At 39.4% G+C, this 20,247-nt stretch overlaps 1 protein-coding gene, 1 long non-coding RNA gene and 1 other non-coding gene across 14 annotated transcripts in view, besides 1 other annotated feature; 1 reads left to right on the top strand and 2 right to left on the bottom strand.

Moving 5' to 3' along the window:
* The window catches only part of GALNT7 (polypeptide N-acetylgalactosaminyltransferase 7), a 155,157-nt gene that overhangs the window by 40,704 nt on the left and 94,206 nt on the right, over positions 1-20,247 (bottom strand). The gene's annotated exons all lie outside the window — the stretch shown is intronic.
* Positions 1-20,247, top strand: part of LOC124900812 (uncharacterized) — a 32,965-nt gene that overhangs the window by 6,219 nt on the left and 6,499 nt on the right. The window contains exon 2 of one of the 2 annotated variants that reach the window (XR_007058367.1): positions 552-18,936. This is a non-coding gene — a long non-coding RNA (uncharacterized LOC124900812). Of the gene's footprint in view, positions 1-551; positions 18,937-20,247 lie in introns of those variants that run through there. The other variant, XR_007058366.1, reaches the window with a different exon arrangement.
* Positions 7,748-7,950: a silencer, noted in NCBI's record as "fragment chr4:174196465-174196667 (GRCh37/hg19 assembly coordinates)". NCBI's record gives its function as "represses an EF-1alpha promoter that drives an FKBP-Casp9 reporter gene in an ReSE screen in phorbol 12-myristate 13-acetate-treated (for megakaryocytic differentiation) K562 erythroleukemia cells {active_cell/tissue: K562(+PMA)}" and the evidence as "EXISTENCE:reporter gene assay evidence [ECO:0000049][PMID:32094911]".
* Positions 15,031-15,104, bottom strand: MIR548T (microRNA 548t). Its single transcript, NR_036093.1, has one exon. It is a non-coding gene; the product is annotated as a microRNA 548t (primary transcript).

Raw genomic sequence — 20,247 nt, 5'->3', positions numbered from 1 at the left:
ATGTAAATAATCAGACCAAGTTTAAAACTAAAGTCTATTTTGCAAACAACTCAGTCCTATCATGATTTGTTTTTAACAAAAAGGAGGACTGGAGAGAGGGAAATTATGTTTCAAAACTTATCATACAGTGGTCATTAATTTCTAGTCTCATTAGTGATTTTTAAGTTCTTGCCTACATTTTAGACTAACCCTGCTTATTCCTGTAAACCAACCAGCCATCTCTGGCTGCAGCTCAGAGAGACAGAAAGGGATGGGTAATGTCAAAATCTGGAACAATATTCTAGTTCTGGGCAATTATCCTACAAATTCTGCCAGGTAATAAGAGTAAATAAAGTGCCCCCATAACCTGGAGGTTTCCTTTTTGGGGAAGGTCAAACCAAGGAAGCTAACCAAAGCCAAGCCCCATACACCCAATCTTAACAGACGTTAACTATAGCCACCAGTTATCAGGGCATGTCAGCAGCCTCATGATTTTTAAGCTATCCTTACCTCCTTCCTTGTCTCATTTTAATACATGTTGTCTAATAACCCAAATTGTTTTTTTCATCTAGAGGCCATCAAGCTCCAAATGGTAAAGTAAATGGAACCACACATTAAACGCACCTTTTTTCTGAGGACCCTTAAACCAGCCTCGGGAGGAATCCTAGCTGCTGTTCCTCACACAATGCTCCTCTCCAGCAAGAAATAGCCAGAAAGATCAATGCCCAATCTCCCTAACAGCAGTTAGAGTTCCCACTTCTGAAGTGGGGAATGAGGGTGAGGGAAAAGAAAAAATCAGTTGGGGCAAACTTACAGTGTAGAAGCGGTCTGCCTGAAAAGTCACAGCAATGGGCAAAAACAAAACAATCTGGGACAAAAACTCAGGCTGCACCTGCACACAGAGAAGCAGACAGCGTCCAGAAAAGAAGCCGTTTGTTCTTCGTATAATTAGCAAGCTCCCAGGAAAAAGTTTCCTCCCCTTTTGAGGCATATACATGGTGGGCTCCACAGAAACTTGCACAGGGAAGACGGGGGCTTACCTAAAACAAACCCACAGTTATACAGAAAAGAGAAGTGGCGCTTTGTGCTTGCCTAGAGACATACCCACAGCTGCATAAGATAAGGGGAGTTGCACAGACAGCTTTACTGATAGGAGAAGTTACTCAAACTGCTACAGAGATGAGAAGAGTTTCTTATAAAAGCTTCTGGAGTCAGCTGTAACTCGGCAATCCACTCGGACTCCCCTCTCCGCTGCGAAGTGCTTTCTTTCGCTTATTAAACTTTCACTCCACCCCCACCCTTGTGTCCATGCTCCTTAATTTTTTTGGATGCAGGACAAAGAACCCCGGGTACTTGTTCAGACAACGAGAAACCGCTACTTTAAGGTGCACTGGCAAAACTGCAACAGAACAAGTTAAGTCCACATGGCTCCACATTCTGTGGAGGAGGACATGTTCCTCTTCCACAGAAAAGGGAAGTAGAAGCTCTTCTACTAGGGAGAGGTAGGAAATCTGGAGGGAACAAGGGGATAGAAGGTAACAAAAGCAGATGAAGGAACGGATTTGTGCGCAGCCTCCATTTCCCAGCTTTGGAGGAGACTATCCAATAGAAGGTGGTTGCCATGTGAAAGAGAAACCATGCTGAAGTGTACTTGGGCAGGAGACCTAGAGACAACTTCCCTTTCCACATCTGCTGTGCAGTCTCCCTTGGCTGTAGGGTGCAGCCAGGGAGCCCAGACGTTTCCACATGCTTCCAGTGGGGAACATGGATGGTAGCTAAGAGTTGAGAGCCAGTGGCCTGCCAGGGGTCACAGTAATAAGGAATAGGATGACATGTGGCAACTCTATGGGATGGAAGGCTTAAGACACGACAGGCTCTTGTAGACAAGCGGGCTTCAGAGGATCCACAGTACCAGTGAGGGCCAAAATGGAGATAAGTCCCCATAGTGGGTCTGGTGAGGAAAGGACCGTTGGTCCCAAAGGCAGCAAGAGAACTGAATAGAAGTTACTGCAGCAGGGGTTCCTTCAGCAGCAGATGAAAGGGTGCCAGTATACCCGGGAAGACAGGCACACCTACCCAGAACCAGGAGGAGGCAGCAGAGACAGAGGTAAGCAGGCCAGAACCATCTAAAACATGTTCCTCAAGGGTGCACAATCCTCCTGTCACCAGGATGCTAGAGAGAAAAGGAAGAGAGGAAAAGAGACCCTCTGGAGCACAGAAACAGCCCAGAGAGGGAGTCTGAATTTTGGGCCGACTGGATTGGACACTTATCCCAAATGAAAGCTTCAGCCCAACACAAATTGAGCTACCTTCAATTACAAGCTTTCATTTGCCACCGTCAACCTGAAGGCAGGATCTTAAAGTTTAGCTCTTTTCTGGTTTGTCACTGTGAGATGAAGCCACTGGGTAGAGCACACAGAAGTAGTATTTATAATACACAAAGCCTTGCTATTAAGATTTAGTAAGAAAGAAATGCCCATTGTATTGAGGTAAAACCCCCTATTCTGCATCATTCCTCTCACTTTACTGGTGTAGAATTTGTAATAAGTTCTAATAAGAAGGACAACATTTAAATGGATGGGCCCTGATATATATTTTTGACTAATTTCTCCTCTTTGGTATCTCATTTCCCAAGAAAGCTTTAAAATCCTCTAACACCAAGGACAGTACTGGTTCAGCTACATTGTAGAACTGCTCTGATCACATATACTCACATTCAGATTACAGGCTTGCAATGATTAGAGTTATTCTTAGAGTAATTTTACAGAATATTTTCAGGGTAGCTATCTGGGTCAGGTGCTTGGCATTAGCAGAAAATATGAGAATAATGAATTTCCATAGTGATTTTCCAATAACTTAAAAAATAGATTTCAAAAATAAAAATGAAATGTCTCACTTGCATTTTCTCTGTATCAGCTATGTTTTTAACATCTGTAGTTTAATATAAAACCTTGTTATATTTAGACTTCATCAATAAATAATATCTAATTCAGCAGACTATGAAAAACGTAACATTTTGAGGCTGCGAGTCCCTGCACTCAATATACACTATCATTAATCTACAATAATGTGTGTGTGCATGCTTTTGTGTATTTGGTGTGTGGAAGTTACTCATCTCTCGCTCCTCTTAAAGGTTGTTTCTTACTTTTAGACCATTCACTAGGAGTCTCAAGACAAAGAGTCATTTTTGATTCTCTCCCCTTAATTCTGAAGTAAATATAACCAGGAAGATTCTTTAGGCATAGGAAACAAATCCTCAATTTGAGAAACACTGATTTTTTTTAACTATCCTTTTTTTTTTCCTTTTTATTGAGACAGAGTCTCGCTCTATCACCCAGCTGGAGTGCAGTGGCATGGTCTTGCCTCACTGCAACCTCTGCCACCCGGGTTCAAGTGATTCTTGTGCCTCAGCCCCCCGAAGAGCTGGGACTACAGGTACGCGCCACCACACCTGGCTAACTTTTTTGTATTTTTAGTAGAGACAAGGTTTGGCTATGTTGGTCAGGCTGGTCTCGAACTCCTGACCTCAGGTGATCCATCTGCCTCAGCCTCCCAAAGTGCTGGGATTACAGTCGTGAGCCACCATGCCCGGCCTCCATTTTTATTTTATAATAAATTGAGGACCTTTCCTGCTTTCATCTAAAACCTCTTTTGCTCATTTTCATCATAAAAGGAAGTGGAAAAATGCTTACAATTTATAAGAAACAGTGCTGACACTTGAATATGTTACTAATGTAGAATACAAAGTTTAATTTAGCATTCAGAAATCAATATACATTTTCAGTGAAAAGACAGTTTATCACTTGATATAGTTTGGATGTTTGCCCCCCACAAATCTCATGTTAAAATGTAGTCCCCAGTGTTGGAGGTGGGGCCTGGTGGGAGGTGATTTGATCGTGGGGGCGGATTTCTCATGTTTAGAACCATCCTCTTGGTGCTCTCCTCACAACAGTGAGTTCTGGTGAGATTTGGTTGTTTAAAAATGTGTAGCTTACCCTCCACTCTCTCTTGCTCTCAGTCTCACCATGTGAGACCTGCTCCCCCTTTGCCTTCTGCCATGATTGTAAGCTTCCTGAGGCCTCCCCCAAAGCCAGGCATATGTCAGTGCCATGCTTGTACAGCCTGCAGAACCATGAGCCAATTAAACCTCTTTTCTTCATAAATTACCCGGTCTCTGTTATTCCTTTACAGCAATGCAAGAATGGCCTAATACGTCACTGTTAAACCCAGTTATCAGAATCAATAGACTGAGGGGAGTGAATTTTACCCAAGTGTTCAGTTTCTATGGACACTGGTTGGAATGACACAAAGTATGCTCCTTGGGAACACAGTATGGTAGATTTTATTCCATACAGTGCATTACACATAGCAAAATAAAAAATCTAAGCTTCGAAAGAAATTTATAGATTAAAATTCCTCATTATCCCTCTCTGGAAATGCCCCATTTTGTCAACATCTTTCCCAAAAAGGACTGCTACAATAATTCAGATGTGGACTGGACAATATATGAGATCAACGCTACAACTCTTAGTCTGGATATAATTCCTTTAAAAGTATAATCTAAAATTATATTGGCACTGTATTTTTGCAACTATATCATATTGCTATCTCACAATTCCCTAAAATTTTTCTCCCCAAATTACTGTTAAGTCCAATGTTTCCCATTTTATATTTCAGCAGTTGAACTTAGTATAAAATACCATGTTTACATTTATTGCATTTTATATTGTTGGTTTAGGTGCATGTTCCAGCAGGTTCTGCCCTCTTTGGTTTTTGTCATTTGTTGTGTATAACCATCCCTCCCAGTTTTCTATGTTGAAAATTGGACTAATATGATTCCACTTTATCTACTGTTTATATGGAGGAATATGAGGTCAAATACTGTTTTAAAGCTATGTGTTTTCCCTGAGAGGTTGATATCACTCCATTTATCAATTTCACCTAATTGCACTATCATTCAAACTATATTTATTTCTCTTCTCCACGGGGATCTGAACACTTTACTCAAATATCTTGCTAACTCACACTGCAGGAGGTATCTATCACACAGTCTCCTGGTCTACTAAGGTAAACACATGTCTTCTTTTAGGTGTAGCTGTGACTTTGGTCTGACTCTTTTTCATAGCCCCATGCTGGTACCTAGTGATGGCTACTTTTTAAATATGTTTAAATGATCTCCCTTAAATACTGTGTATCAGTGACAAGTTTCCAAGAACAAGTTTTCTCTCTCCCCTTTGAAAAATATAAGGTAGTATTTTCCCACCTCCAGTTTCCTAAAATTTCTCCTCTTCTCTCCAGTACCTGAGGATTACTGACAGTACTTCCTCTCAAACTCATCTGGCAAGTTCCTCAATAGCTGGTGCTGTAAGAGGCTTTAAAGGCTTTAACAAATCTAGTGCACTCTTAAGATGTCAGTTATAATACTTTCAATATGGAAATCACTCCTGCAGATAACTAAGAAGGAAACAAAAAAGTATTGCACATCTGTCTTTCTTCTCATACGTTAAAATCATATAATTTGCCCTAATAATCTGCCTACTCTTTGCTTTTTCATTATTTTACTCTGAACAGAATTTAAAGCAATTTTTTAATCGTTGCAGACAACACTTGGAATACATATCTAGAATGTCTCCTGTTTTTCTGAAAGCTGTTCCATCACTTGGCCCTACTGAGGTCCCCTTCTCTAAGAATCTCCTTAAACAGCAGTTCCCAAGAAAAAGCAACCATGTGACGTCATCCCTAGGCCATCAAAATGGACTCAGAGTGCACACCTGTTTGAGAAGTGCCAATCAGAGTCCTTCTCTGCAAACTCTGAGCTTCTGGAACTCTTGTTGGTTTCTACTAGGCTCTTGCATTGTCAGGCAAGGACTGGACAGCTATTTTCATGCAGAAGCAGAGAGAAAGAAGTAGAGATGAGAATTCATGAACTCTGAGAAAGACAGAGCATGTGACTTTAGTTCTCAACTTTTCAGTTTGTACTTCCGAGTCTCCCACAGCCACCATGTGTACTTCCTGACCTTGGGTTCTATGAGATACTCATATATCCTTTCAACTAGTAGCTCGCACCACCCCGCTCCACATTTTTTTGTTTAAGGTTAAACTAGTTAAACAGATTTGTTTATGGGCAAATAATCCATGTCTAAACGCTACACTTGATATTTTTGTAAATTTTAGTTTATTATATATTAATGAACTAAGAGTTAAACTGAGAGCTTTTCACTAAGTTTTAATCAATCAATCTATCAATCAATCTATCTATCGTCTCTTTAAATTTGAGATTATTGGAGATCTTCCTCTATGGTCATTGTTGAAGTTACAGGAAGGTAAGCTAGAGACAGAGATGGTACTACTTGGAAGGTCCTAAAAATTGTTATAAATATGCAAAATTAATTAAACTTAAGAGAATTACACATGCTCACCAAACAAGAAGCTGATACATAAAATACTGTTTGAAATGAGAAAAAAAAAATTTTCATGCAACCTAGTCATCACTGGAAACTCTGCCTGCAAACTCTGGTCACAATGAGAAGGTTGCTTGGCAAACACAGAATCTGTTTTAATGGCTGATGCCTTACAGTTTTGAAGCTCCCTGCTTCCTCCTCCACAATAGGGTGTGCTGAACAGACTAAATTTATACTGACTGACTCAAGCTCCCTCTCTGATGGATAGCTAGTGGTACAATAATCACATCTTTTCTTAGGTTCCCTTATTCTAACCCCCATGTAGACTATTCTTTTCTTGATAATACTATATATTCTTTATTTTAACTAGACAAAATAAAACTGTGGTTATAGTTTTTTATTTAATCATTTTCTCAAACAATGCCTCAATTCCTTGAAGACTTTCTCTTCTTTTCCTTGGCTAATAGAGACTCTAAGATAACCTAGTTACCTTTTTCCAATGTTATTATCAATCAATCCCTGTGAAGGTCAAAATTAAGCCTATAATTCTACCTTATCATCTCCAAGATTAAAATGTCAGCAAAACTAATCATCAGAAGTTCTGCTCTTAGCCAAAACAGCATTTTCATGTATTATGTCAAAACTCAATACATACTTGTTGATTTGATTCCAAAAATTTTCCTGGGACTACTCCTTTGTCACACGAGTACTATATCACAGAACATTACCCACTGTCCTCATTAATGAATTAAATATTAATGAAAAGGGGAATAAAAAATGTTTACTTGTTGCTCTATTTAAGGCTGAAAGTCAAAATCAATGCTCATGGAATTAATGGATGGGTCTGCCTTTCAGGATGAAACTAGATAATTAAGAAAGTATGGCTGTTAACTACAATCCTTGCTTTGGAGTGTACTGTATGGTGCCATAGTTGGAAGGTAGGACCCATTTTTGAAGGTAGCGCCAGTTGGTGGCTTTAGCTCATCATGCCCATATCCCTATCAGGTCCACCCCTCCCAATCAGCTCAATCTAAATAAAACAGTGTTTGCCATGTGTGTAGGGTTTTAAGACAAGCATCCCTAGTTCCTAGCAGGTTACTGCATCTGAACTTTTCCTGGGACAGATTTCATTTTCTGAGGCAGAGAGTTGAGATGCATAGATTTATTTCATGTCTAAATAATCAATGGGTTTGGAGGAAAGTGGACCATTGTTAGCAGAACAGCAGGGCTAGTACCAGAAACTTTCCACCTTACCATGGCTGAATCCTAGGGCTGGAAAGCTACAAAAAGAGCTCATAAAAACTACTGCTGCACGTAGCTCATGAAACAAAGAGCTGCACCATGATCTGCCAGACCACTTGTGGCCTTCTCTGACCCACAGCTCACTGAAAAGCTTATATTTGTGTTTATTTCCATTTTCTCTACTCTGCTGTGAGGTAGCCAGTTTCCTGGCACTCCCATAGTCTGTGGGATGCAGCTGTCCAGGTGTTATCATGACAACACCTTTCTTATCTCAGTTCCCCACTCAGAGCTCGGCTGCCAGTGATCCTCAAACACAGTAACGGTACGGTTAGAATTCACGAAGGAAGCCAGAGGCTTCTTAAAGGTCACATCGTCATTGGACCATTCAGCTTGCAGTCTCTACTATAACCTTAAATAATGTGTATAAACTCTGGGACAGAAACGTTCGAATACAGTTTTAGAGAACACCTCAGTCTCAGCCATCCCCTGATGCTCCTCCTCACTTAGTGTCCTAATGAGCCCCCAAAAATGAGAAAGTTATGCTCCCCATGTTGAGATACCATGAGAGAAGATGTAGGTGAGAACTTCACAGCTGACAGTTGTTAAGAGTGGCTGCATGGGGATGACTGTATTTCCTTTTGGTGAGGACATTAGAGGCGTCAGGTCCTATGACCGTGGAGTCACTAAGCACTGGCTGCAAGAGCAGCAGAGGAGACGACAGCAGTGAGCCACAGAGAAGGCACATGAGCATCCATGAGGAATCCAACAGGATCCATTCCCAAGCATATGTTCAACATCCCCGGCTGACTCCCAGAACTAGTTGTGAATTTGAGGGAGTTAAAATTCTAGCAGAGTAGATAGTATTTAAGCCAAATAAATGGTGATTTTGCTATTAGTTATTGTGATCTCCTTTTATCCCAGACTGAGGCAATGCAGTTCTAATAGCTCTGCTATTAGTTTCAAAGCACTTTAATACATGTTATCTCATGTGAGTTTCACAGTAACCCTGTGAAATAGAAAGGGCAGGCATTATTATTATTATTCATTTTATATATAAAGAAACTGAGGCTCTGTTAGGTTATATGATTTGCTTAAAGTCACACAGTTAGTGACAGCAGCAAGATTTAAAAATGAATCCTTTGACTCTAATTTGAAGGCTCTTTCCTTAAACCTACAAGTTTACTAAGAATTACACACAAATATATGCTTAAACAACATACAGGAAAATAAATTCCTTATTTTCACCCAATACCCAGGAAATACATGGCCACCAACAAAATGACTGCACACAGCTCAGAGAATGTCAGTTTAATTTTAAAGGTTGAGGATACTAACTATGTTATGGAAAATTAAGAATACTGAACTATGTCTTTTGGGTAGCTATTTTCAAATTTTCTTTTTTTGAAAAGGAAAACATACTCAGACAGATGTATCCAGTTAATGATTTGAAATCTCAAACCACAATTTAGAGAAAAAAAATCTGGCAGGGATTCCTAGGACTGGACATATGTTCTTGTATATTTCTTCAAAACTCCCTGGGAAAGGAAAAAAAGAACATTTCACAGTGTAAGCCATATGTTTATAGCTATATTGGACTCTCATTTCAAATATGAGCTTACATGCCATATTCTGTGTTACAGAAGTACCAGCTTATCAAACACCAATATATTTGAGCTGAAACAACAGGAGTAAGGATCAACATTGGGCACCATGCATGGATGTATAGATAACTTAACAGTCTGAGCAAATAAAGGTCTGCATTTTTGACTTAGTTATTAACTTATGCTACACCTTATTCCACAAGGACTTTGAGCAGCTTACAAAGACACACAGAATAAAACAGTATTACAAAAGTTAAAAATAGAAGGAGGGAAAAAGATGGATAAAGAAAGAATGAGAGGAAAAAGAAGGAGGAATCAAGAATGAGGTTTTAGAAGTATATACCAGAGGGTCAAGGGCTCCTGTGTGCACAGTTCTGGGGTACGACTGACAATGAGCACACTATGAACGCACCACCCCAAGTGAGTAGCATGGTGGGTTGGGTATACCAAATACTTCTTATGGGTAAATCACAATATTGGCTTGAATTTTCTAGCAAGAAAACCTGGTGAGGTCTGTGTTTAACAAACCAGTTGTTCAGAAGAAGTACAATATTCATGGCGTGAAGATCGGATGGGATTTTTTGTTGTTGTTTTTAAACAACAACAACAGGGGCCTCCTTATGGTAAACACAGTAAAGAGTTTCACTGTGCTGTTTTCCATAAAGACTTCAATGGAGACCAATGGCATTGTACCAAGGTGCAAGTCAGTAAAAAACAGTTGTGCAGAGAACAAGTTGGGAATTTAAGTTCAACACAGATTTGAAAATCACACTTTACAAACATTCCTTAAAATGTTTATTGAGTCATCTCTCCCAATCCATGTTTCATCACTCAGTGAGTGATTATATGCCTTCTCGATGTACTCTAATTACAATGAGGAAATGACATCAACCATATGGAGGACTTACATTTCCAAAAGCAAATTTCAACACTGTTAATGACTGAAGAGGTACAGTCTTACAGTAGCAGCATGATAACTTTAGGCTGGAGTTAGTAAATAATTTCTCAAAAGAGAATTGTTAGATATTACAGGATTGGTTGCAAGACAGGTTGTAATATTTACTTACAGAAGTCTTAAACATTGATAGTAATGGCCCTATAGCAAAATGAAGAGATGTACTAGATCGTTTTTTGAAGACCCTCTCCACTGTAAAACAAATATGGAAAAGAGTATGTAATATACAACAGTTAACATTTATTAACTCACAGAACAGACATTTTCTGGGGTTAGTAAGAATATATGTTGGCTACACTTAGTAATTTATCTTGTTAAAGATATTAGGAAACAAGTAGTTCATTAGCATATAATTGATACATATGAGATGTTTAAAAACGTTGTAAAGGAGAAAATTTGGTAATACTATTTCAAAAAATTATTGCGGTAGTCTACCTCATTTCCGGAATCAATTGAGTTATCTTTACTTATCTTTTTACATCTCTGCTTCATTGTAATTTTCCAGAAAATCAAATCTTTCTGAGGCGAGTGAGTCACGAAGAGTGAGTTGAAGTTAGTTATCAAATAGTTTATGGCTCAAAGATGGGATGGAATTATAACAACTGAGATGGTATGTTAATTCTCACTCTGAAAGAGGCAGATGCCAGAAAATCTCAAACCAAAATTTTAGAAAACATTTTAGTTCACTTAAAATCTGGCAGGGAACCCAATGACTTAACTCATGTGAACACTGCATGTAAGCTATGGTCAACTGTCATCTTGAAATAGTATCAGTTTGTTGCATTCTCTCTTGAGAGTCCCTCAATTTCTAATGGTCTACAGATAGTCCATATACAGGGGGAGACCATTACCAAAGGAGACAAAAAAAGAGAAAAATGGAAAAGGGCAAAACAAATATATTCTGTATGAAGTGGAAGCAGTGAGGGACAGGGATGGAGAGCAGAGGAGAGACTCCAGAGTTGACAAAACACTACCAAGTAAAAGGAACCAGTTATTAATCCTTTGATTTAGTGATTCCACTAGGAATTTGTCCTCTTGAAATAATCAATGATGGGCACAAAGACTGAGCCATAAGCGGGTTCCTCACAGCATTGTTTACAATAGTGAAAACCTGAAAATAATCCAAATGTCCCAAAATAAAGGATGGATGAAATAAATTGTGGTCATCCATGCAGCAGATCATATAGCTAGCAAAATGGTGTTGCACAAAAAATATTTAAAGATACATAAAAATGTGTAAAAACAATTTTAATAAAATTTTAGAAATAATATATAACATCTAACCTCATCTTTTAAAATGACCTCATATTTTTAAAATATACTACTTGGGGCCAGGCACAGTGGCTCACATCTATAATCCTAGCATTTTGGGAGGTTGAGGTGGGTGGATCACCTGAGGTTAGGAGTTCGAGACTAGCCTGGCCAATGTGGTGAAACCCCATCTATACGAAAAATACAAAAATTAGCCACGCCTGATGGTGCACACCTGAAATCCCACCTACTCGGGAGTCTGAGGCAGGAGAATCACTTGAACCCAGGAGGCAGAGGAAGTTTCAGTGAGCTGAGATCCCACCACTGCACTCCAGCCTGGGCAACAGAGCAAGACTCTGTCTCAATAAATAAATAAATAAATAAACAAACAAACAAACAGTTTAACATAAATATATGTATTACTTGGCTGGTAGGATTACAGGTGATTGTTTTTACTTTCTTCCTTTAAATATTCTACTAAACATAAATACTTCTTTCCTTTTTTCAAAATATTTAAAGTTGCTACTTAAGACAACTACAAGTGAATGGAACATTACTCTGGCAGCTTCATAATCAGCAAACCCCTGGGCAAAAAATCTAGCCTGATACCTTTATTCTCATAAAAAATAATACATTAAAGCTTTCCCCAGAACAACAATGTCAACTTACTAACAGAATTAGACCAAATTTTCGTATTCACTTTGCAGATGGCTTTGCTGAAAATGCATCTATTCTAAAAAGCAAGGGCATATTTTAAAAATCATTACTATTTATACCCATTCTCATTTTGATTCAATAGGTTAATTGAAAGATTTGCAAATTATACTGAGGGGAACTTTGTGCTTCGTTGCTGCCAGTTTTTTCCCTTCTGATATCAGCTGGTTATTCCATCTAATATATAGTCCTTCTAGATAGCTGTCATACTGATAGAGCAGGAGCCTGCACAGAATGCAGCTGCCAAGAAGACTGCTGTTTCTCAGAGGGCTGCAGCAGCTAAAAGCAAAGATAAATGTGCTTAAGCGGGAAAGGAAAACACAAACAAAGATACAAGAGCTCTGCTGGAAGAAATCTTTTACAAGGGCCAGTTGCCAACTTTTGGTGGTTTATAAATCCAAAGAGGAAAGCCAGAGCTTCTGAATTCCAGTATAATGTTCCAAATATTACTGAGTAAATATGTTTAATTATCACCACTTTAAAGCATTTCATGTGGAGGAAAAATTATATCTTTTGATGAAAAAAATCCATCAAAAACCTTAGAAATCCTAAATACTCTGAAGCAATTGAGATAGGCGTCCAAGATTAGCTTCACAGCACTGACCTCTATGGTGATCTTGAATACGAAAGCCTTCATAAAAGAAAGGAGGCTGTTTCCACAGCTTCCTCATTACCTAAGGTATTGGAATGCAGAACATCAATTATCCCCTAAAATATTCCCCAAAACACTTGTCACAAAAACAAGCATTTTTTTTTCAATCTTCAAAACTCAAGATTTCATAGGAGCAATTTGACTGAATCCCTCAGGTACCTAATGTCTCATTTTCTGAAGCTGATGTCAATCTGCTATATCTTTATTCTGGAGAGCACATGCAATTACAAGGGTTATTGCCACAGTTTAAAGGGAAAAACATTTCCCCTGTACCTCCAAATTATCCCACTTTAATTTCAAAGATTTCCCCATGAAATCATCCATATCTTCACATATTGCCAATAATAATTGCGCTATACTTCTGCAGAATGGTTAAAACCAGTGGCTATGGGTCCAAGTACACTTGATTATCTTTTTATATTTTTCAGGTTCTAGAAATATGCATACATTTATATCATCTAGTTCTTTCTTCACAGGACTTTTGTAAACGACTTCTCCCACAATCAGCTGATGAGGTGGGGTGTCTCTAGTTTTACTGGATATGAAACATCCTAGCATCATGACTGCAACTTTTGATCCTCAAGAAGCATTCCTTTTCCTGCATGATTATAAAATTGGACTTTATGGCCGTGGTCTATCGGAGTTTGTTGTATATTTCTTTGAGACCAAGATTGAAGTAAGAAACAGGTGCAATGACTACTTGGAAAGAATTTAAATTACTTCTGTTGAGGAGGAGGAGGAGGAGGGAAGATTAAATCTAAAATTATTAAGTATTCCTGAAAAAAGTCAAAGCTAGTTACCAGGATATTAAATAGATTCAATACAGCATCCAACCATTTAGGAAAGGTGATGCACTTGGGGCCTGAGGATATGATACTATCACATTTACGTGGTCATAAGGACCTTTGAAATTCAGATTAGGTCTGCTTATCAGCAGAGACTATTTCAGCACTAAATCTAATAAATATTCCAATCAGTGCAAAAGACCTCCTGTGTTCCATAGCTCATGTCACTAACTGCAGCAGCTTCTGTTGGGTACACCTTGGCATGATTCCAGCTGCCTTCCCAAGCCCATTTTAGCAGTTAGGTATCTATAAAAGGAGGTGGAAGATAAAGTGGGGAGGGGTGGGAAGGAGCAAGGAAAGATGAATTATGGGCGGAACATATAATAATAACTCGGCCACTTTATTTCTATTCCTTAAATGGAAAAACAAAATTTGATGCTTTTTGGTCTTCACATTTCTAAAAGCCATTATCAGATTTCATTTTTGAAATAAATTAACAGACAAAAAATATTTTGTTTTGTTCTGTGCCTCTGTTGTCTGAGTGCCCCTATAATAAGACATGCTTATCTGACAAACATCAGAGGAGCCATGCCCCTCTGAGAAACATCTTCACTGTTACTGAGATTTGGGTTTATTATAATGGGGTACTGGGCATTTTGCCCACTAACTATATAGTAAATATTTCTGTGATTAACCTGAGCCCCATACTAAATATACAAAAATTCAGTGGCTCCTTATTATTTGTGGATTCTACGTCCACAAATGTGGATTGCAATTGGAGATGCCTGATGGGCATGCACACGAGGATGTTCTGTTTCTTGTTTCTGCTCATAGAGTAAACAAGTGTCCGGGTGCGGTGGCTCACGCCTGTAATCCCAGCACTTTGGGAGGCCAAGAAGGGCGGATCAAGAGGTCAGGAGATTGAGACCATCCTGGCTAACACGGTGAAACCCCATCTCTACTAAAAATACAAAAAAAAAAAAAAATTAGCTGGGCGTGGTGGTGGACGCCTGTAGTCCCAGCTACTCGGGAGGCTGAGGCAGGAGAATGGCGTGAACCTGGGAGGCAGAGCTTGCTGTGAGCCAAGATGGCGCCACGCCTGGGCTACAGAGCGAGACTCCATCTCAAAAAAAAAAAAAAAAAAAAAAAAAAACGAGAGAGAAAACAAGTGTCCTATTTGCAGTTTGTTTGGTGCCACAGATTTTCTCATTTTTGTGCTTTTAGTTGGTAATTTTGCTGTTTAAAACAGCCTCCCGAGAATAATGTCAGTGTGCTACCTGGTATCCTAAGCACAAAGATGCTGTGCTGTGTCCTGTGCAGAAAATCCACGTGAGACAAGCTTTGTTTGGGTGCGAGTTACAGTGCTATTGGCCCTGAGTTCAATGTAAACCCATCAACGTTATAGGTAAAATAAAGTGTCTTTAAATAGATACATGCCTAAAACAAGGTTAGGTTGGTGCAAAAGTAATTGTGGTTTTTGTCATTAAAAAATTGCAAAAACCACGATCACTTTTGCACCACCCTAACATTTTTCTTCACTTCTCTTGACGCAAATTATAGATTCAATCACCCAGCACTTACAAGCAAGCATTTCTTTATCTTAGGTTGACCTTAAGAACTTCTTTGTATTTACTAACTTCCTTTAGGACTCCTCCTCTTTTGTAGTAAGACGGCAGGATGAAATACAATGAAGAGGGTACCATATTTTAAAGATAAGGCTGAATACCACACACCTGGCATGATGAGAGGCCTATACAGAAAAAAGAGCTTCTGAAGCTTCTCTATGCCACACAAGGGATGAAGGTGGCCTCCAACAACTGTGACCTCCAACCGGTGGAGCTCATGTGTGATATGCCTTTTATGTCCTTTAGCACATTTGTTACCCACAATAACTTTACAAGCCAAGTATTATTATCCACAATTGCTAGAAGAGGAAACCAAAGCTCCCTAAATGCTCAATATCATGCTCATCACTCTTTCAGCTCTGTATGGGATTCCCAAAGTGAACCTCATGTGTATTTATGAACTTGGCACTCTCGGATACCATGCAGCACCCCTCATTTTCTGTGAGCTCTGCTTGCTGAGGTGAAGACTCTGCTGCAAAGGGGCCCCTGGTCCTGTGAAGCTGGTCCCCCTGCTGTGCCTATTCTAAGGAATGGCCATTGCTGATGACATTTGCTGGTCTGTGCCCAGGCATGGTTTCCTGGCGCTGCAGAAGCCACTGGCTGGTAATCTGCCTATGGGTGTCCACAAACCCTCAAGTACAGAAATTTGCCATCCTTCAGTTTGACAGGCATTTTAATGGAATGCTCTTTCAGTGTATCTCCCTAGCATTCAGGTACGCGTTTCAGGGGCCAGGCTGGAGGGTGATCTAAGTGACAGGCATGGTACAATGGTAAATTTTGCCCATACCCTCAACACTGATCCTCTACTTCTAGGCCATACTAAGGTGGCTTTTAAAAATTAATATATGATAATAGTACCTATTTATGGGATACATGTGATATATGGATACATGCATATAATGGGTAATGATCAAAGCAGGGTATTTAGGATATGCACCACCTCAAACATTTATCATTTCTTTGTGTTGGGAACATCCCAAATATTCTTTTCTAGCCCTTTTGAAATACACAATACATTGTTGTTAACTATGGTCACCTGCTGTCCTATTGACCATTAGAACTTATTCCTTCCAGCTAACTGTATGTTTATAGCCATTAGCCAACCCCTCTTTATCCCACATCCCAGCCCTCCACACACACACACACACACACACACACACACACACACACACACACACACACACACACACCCTTCCCAGCCTCAGGTAGCCGTCATTATACTCTCTACCTCCATGAGATCAAATTTTTTAGCTTCCACGTGAGTGAGAACATGCAATACTTGTCTTTCGGTGCCTGGCTTATTTTTAACATAATGTCCCCCATGCTCATCCATGTTGCCGAAAATGGCAGGATTTTATTATTTTTATATCTGTTCTCTTATTAATAGTATAACTTCTTACAACTTAGATTTAAGCAGAGGCCCTTCTACATATAATTGGAATTTTATATGTCCACATTTAAAAAGAGTTACCTTGGGATTGATAACATACTTCTTTTGCTCCTAAGTAAAAATTTTTATTACTATAAAATGTTTCACAAATGTATCAAAAATACTACAATTAAAACTACTGCTCTGATCAACACACTTTCGTGCTCTTTTGTCTGGTATAGTGAAAGGTCGGTCCTAGAAGACCTGGATTCATTCTTCTCAGCCACTTAATTTAATCCTGGATGATCACATACTGTTTATACTTGGGATTCCTTATCCACAAAGTGAGGGATCTCTCACAGTACCAAGGAACCCCTCTGGCCCCCTTCAGTTCTAAAATTCTTTTCTTTTCTTTTTCTTTTTCCTTTTTGAGACAGAGTCTTGCTTTGTTGCCCAGGCTGGAGTACAGTGGTGCTATCTCAGCTCACTGCAACGTCCGCCTCTCGGGTTCAAACAATTCTTGTGCCTCAGCCTCCTAAGTAGCTGGGATCATGGCCGCACGCCACTAGGCCCAGCTAATTTTTTTGTATTTGTAGTAGAGACAGGGTTTCGCCATGTTGGCCAGGCTGGTCTCGAAATCCTGGCCTCAAGTGATCCATTTGCTTCATCCTTCCAAGGTGCTGGGATTACAGGCATGAGCCATTGAGCCTGGCCAGTTCTAAAATTCTATGACACATTTAATATATTATGAGCAAGGTTCTTGAAGCGTCCAAGCCATTCCCTTTAAAAGCTACCATGTGACTCCCAAAGTGCAATCTTATGCACTGGGCTCCCATCCATTCTGATAAGCAGTTTATCTGGGCCATTTGAAGACTGAGATGAAAGCAAAGCGCTAGACTCAGAAAAAAGAAATGAAAAAGGTAAAAACTCTGAAAAGACATGTGGAAGAAATTCAAGACAATCCCATATTGCTTCAGAGAAGGAAGAAGGGAGAGAGACAGGGTGGGGGGTGGGGGAGGGAGGGAGATTGGGGGGAATGAGGGGGTCTTGGGGGTGGAGAGACAGAGACAGAGAGAGAGAGAGAGAGAGAGAGAGAGAGAGATGCTTACGCCACCATCACTGCTAGTAAAACAGCTAGCATGTACTTGCTGCTTACCATGTGCTAGGTGGTGAGCTAAACATGTCACAAACCTGAGGTCATGTAGAGAAGGCTGGTAAGGGTAAAGGATAAGGAAATATACGGGATGATAAGCTTTTAGAACAAAAAATAAGTTTTCTATGTTCTAAAAGTCATGAATGTATATACAGAGATATGGGGAAAGACCATGACAACTATTCACCAAACAGTAGCTGGCTCTGGAAAGGTCACTTCTTAGTATGTCAGGCAAAATGGGTTTCCTCCACCCCTGGAGCTGGCACAAACAAAGGCTAATAGAGGAAGACATTCTCATAACAGGATTATATCCTGGAAATGCTAGCATGGTTGAGCTTGGCAATATAAAATGGCTGACTGTCCTCCAGCTAATCCATCTGGTCCCCTGCCTGCTCCTGGGGAAACCGAAGAAGGGCAAGCCTGGTATCCTGGCTGCGTCTGATGCTCTCCTTGCCAGGATGGGCACAGTGTTGAGTGGCTTGTACATGAAGCGCAAGTTTTGCCAAACAGTGCAAGTTGCTAAAGTGCTGGGATCAAAGCAGCATTTGCTTCTGCACCAATACTAGGTAGCCAAGTAAATAGATGCCACATCTATCATTATTTTCCAAAAAGAGCTGTCGCACCTGGCAGTGGCCCAAGGGCTGTGAAGCCACTCCCCCCTCCAGGATGCAGGAAGAGGCAATACCACAAAAGAAAGCATGCCACAAAGTTCAGGCTCGAGTGATAACAGCTGCACACCAGCTGCTTGCTGGCTGGTTCTATTCAGCTTTTTTATCTAGAGAAACAATTGTGGAACACCCAGGGGAGAATGTAGAAACACAGAAAAACTTAATTTTAAAATGAGAGAGACCTGGGAAAACATCTAGGTCTCAGGTTTCCAAACTTGTTGGAGGAGCCCACGGATTTAAAGAAGGTGCCAAGAACAAAAGCATAGAGTTGCCTAGGAAGTCACTTGAAAAAGGATTCTGGGGCTTCTTGTGGTTAAAACAAGTTAGAAAAATTGACGACTCCCTCTTTTTCAGATAAGAAAATTGAGACTCAGAGGATAATACGGAAGAGCAATACCCATCTAACCCTACTGTGTGCTCAGAGAACTCACACCGTATTGGGACAGAGATACAAGAATCAACACCACAGTGTGTAGACTCACACATTATACCTTATAATGGACACTGATGGGAAAAATAAGACAATTTATCATCTTGCAAGGTTGGCTTTGTCTTATAACATTTTGCCTGGTATCATAACCACTCATATCTTAGTTACTCTGGCTTTGGGTGAATTCTTCTGATTCCATTATATATCTGCTTAACGTTTTACAATCATTAGAATACAAACAGTAAGTTACTGCTTACTCAGGTATCATATAGCAGATATTTTTCTTTTGAAAAGGGAAGGGTGGAGGGGGTGGAAAAATCGAAATATGCCCTCAGGTTGGTATATTATTTTCCTACTGAAAATTTGGTCCTAAGACTAACTTTAAAACAATTATTTTGTCTATGTATATCACTACTTATTGATAAAAGTAACTTGCTAAAGGGGGAAGGCTTTGCGTGGAATAGCTTTGCAGATGTTCCAAACCAATGAGCTAGCAGTTTAGAACCTAGGTAATCAGACTAATGTCTGACCACAGGTATTCATCATGTAAATACCATTGATCTTATTTTATGATGTGTTTATATTTATCTTAGCACTATCTCTAGACTTTAAAAAATATGGACAACTTTTGGGAACCCTGTTCAATGAATTCTTGGCATTCCAAAAGCAATCATTACAAAATACTGATATTATAATAAAATACCCAACTAATAAATTGATGAACCTTGAACCCTTGGGTTTTGTTCCCATGAGTTCCTTTAATTTTAATTAATAGGATGATGGTAAAATAAATTACTCCTTCCAGTTTGGAGGCTGGTTGCCCTATACCATTTAAAACCATTTTAGTCCCAGGAATATTAAAGCTGGCCGATTTGCTATTATTTTATCCATCAATCCTAAGTAATTAGTGTAGAGATAGGATTTCATACTATCCGGCCATCTATGTTTGTGCAGATGTTGACTGCACTTCTGCAATATAAAATCAAGTTTTTCTTCTGTATCAGTTAATTAAAATAGAGCTCAATACAATTTTGAGTAAGTGAGCATCTTAATTATCTAAATCATCACTAAGCACAGAATCTCTGAAATTACCAGTAAATCAAGTATAAGAGATTAAATTTTACTTTATAAAATAATGCTGTATTTGTCAATAATCAAACTGGAAGACTGCTGATGACAAACTTTTTCTGAGGAAACTTATTATTCACCTTCTTCATTCTAAAATCTATAGCAGCGGCTTTTTCAAAGTATGATCCACAGATTTGTGGGGTCCCCAAGGCCCTTTCTGAAGTTTGGTGAGGTCAAAATTATTTTGCTGATCATATGAAGATACTATCTTTTTCACTGTGTGGATATTTACTCTGATGGTACCAAAGCAAAGTGGGTAAAACTGCTGGTGCCTTAGCATAAATCAAGGCAATG

Source organism: Homo sapiens, chromosome 4 (assembly GCF_000001405.40).
Source record: "Homo sapiens chromosome 4, GRCh38.p14 Primary Assembly".
Taxonomy (NCBI): domain Eukaryota; kingdom Metazoa; phylum Chordata; class Mammalia; order Primates; family Hominidae; genus Homo; species Homo sapiens.
This window is presented reverse-complemented; position numbering and strand designations above follow the sequence as displayed.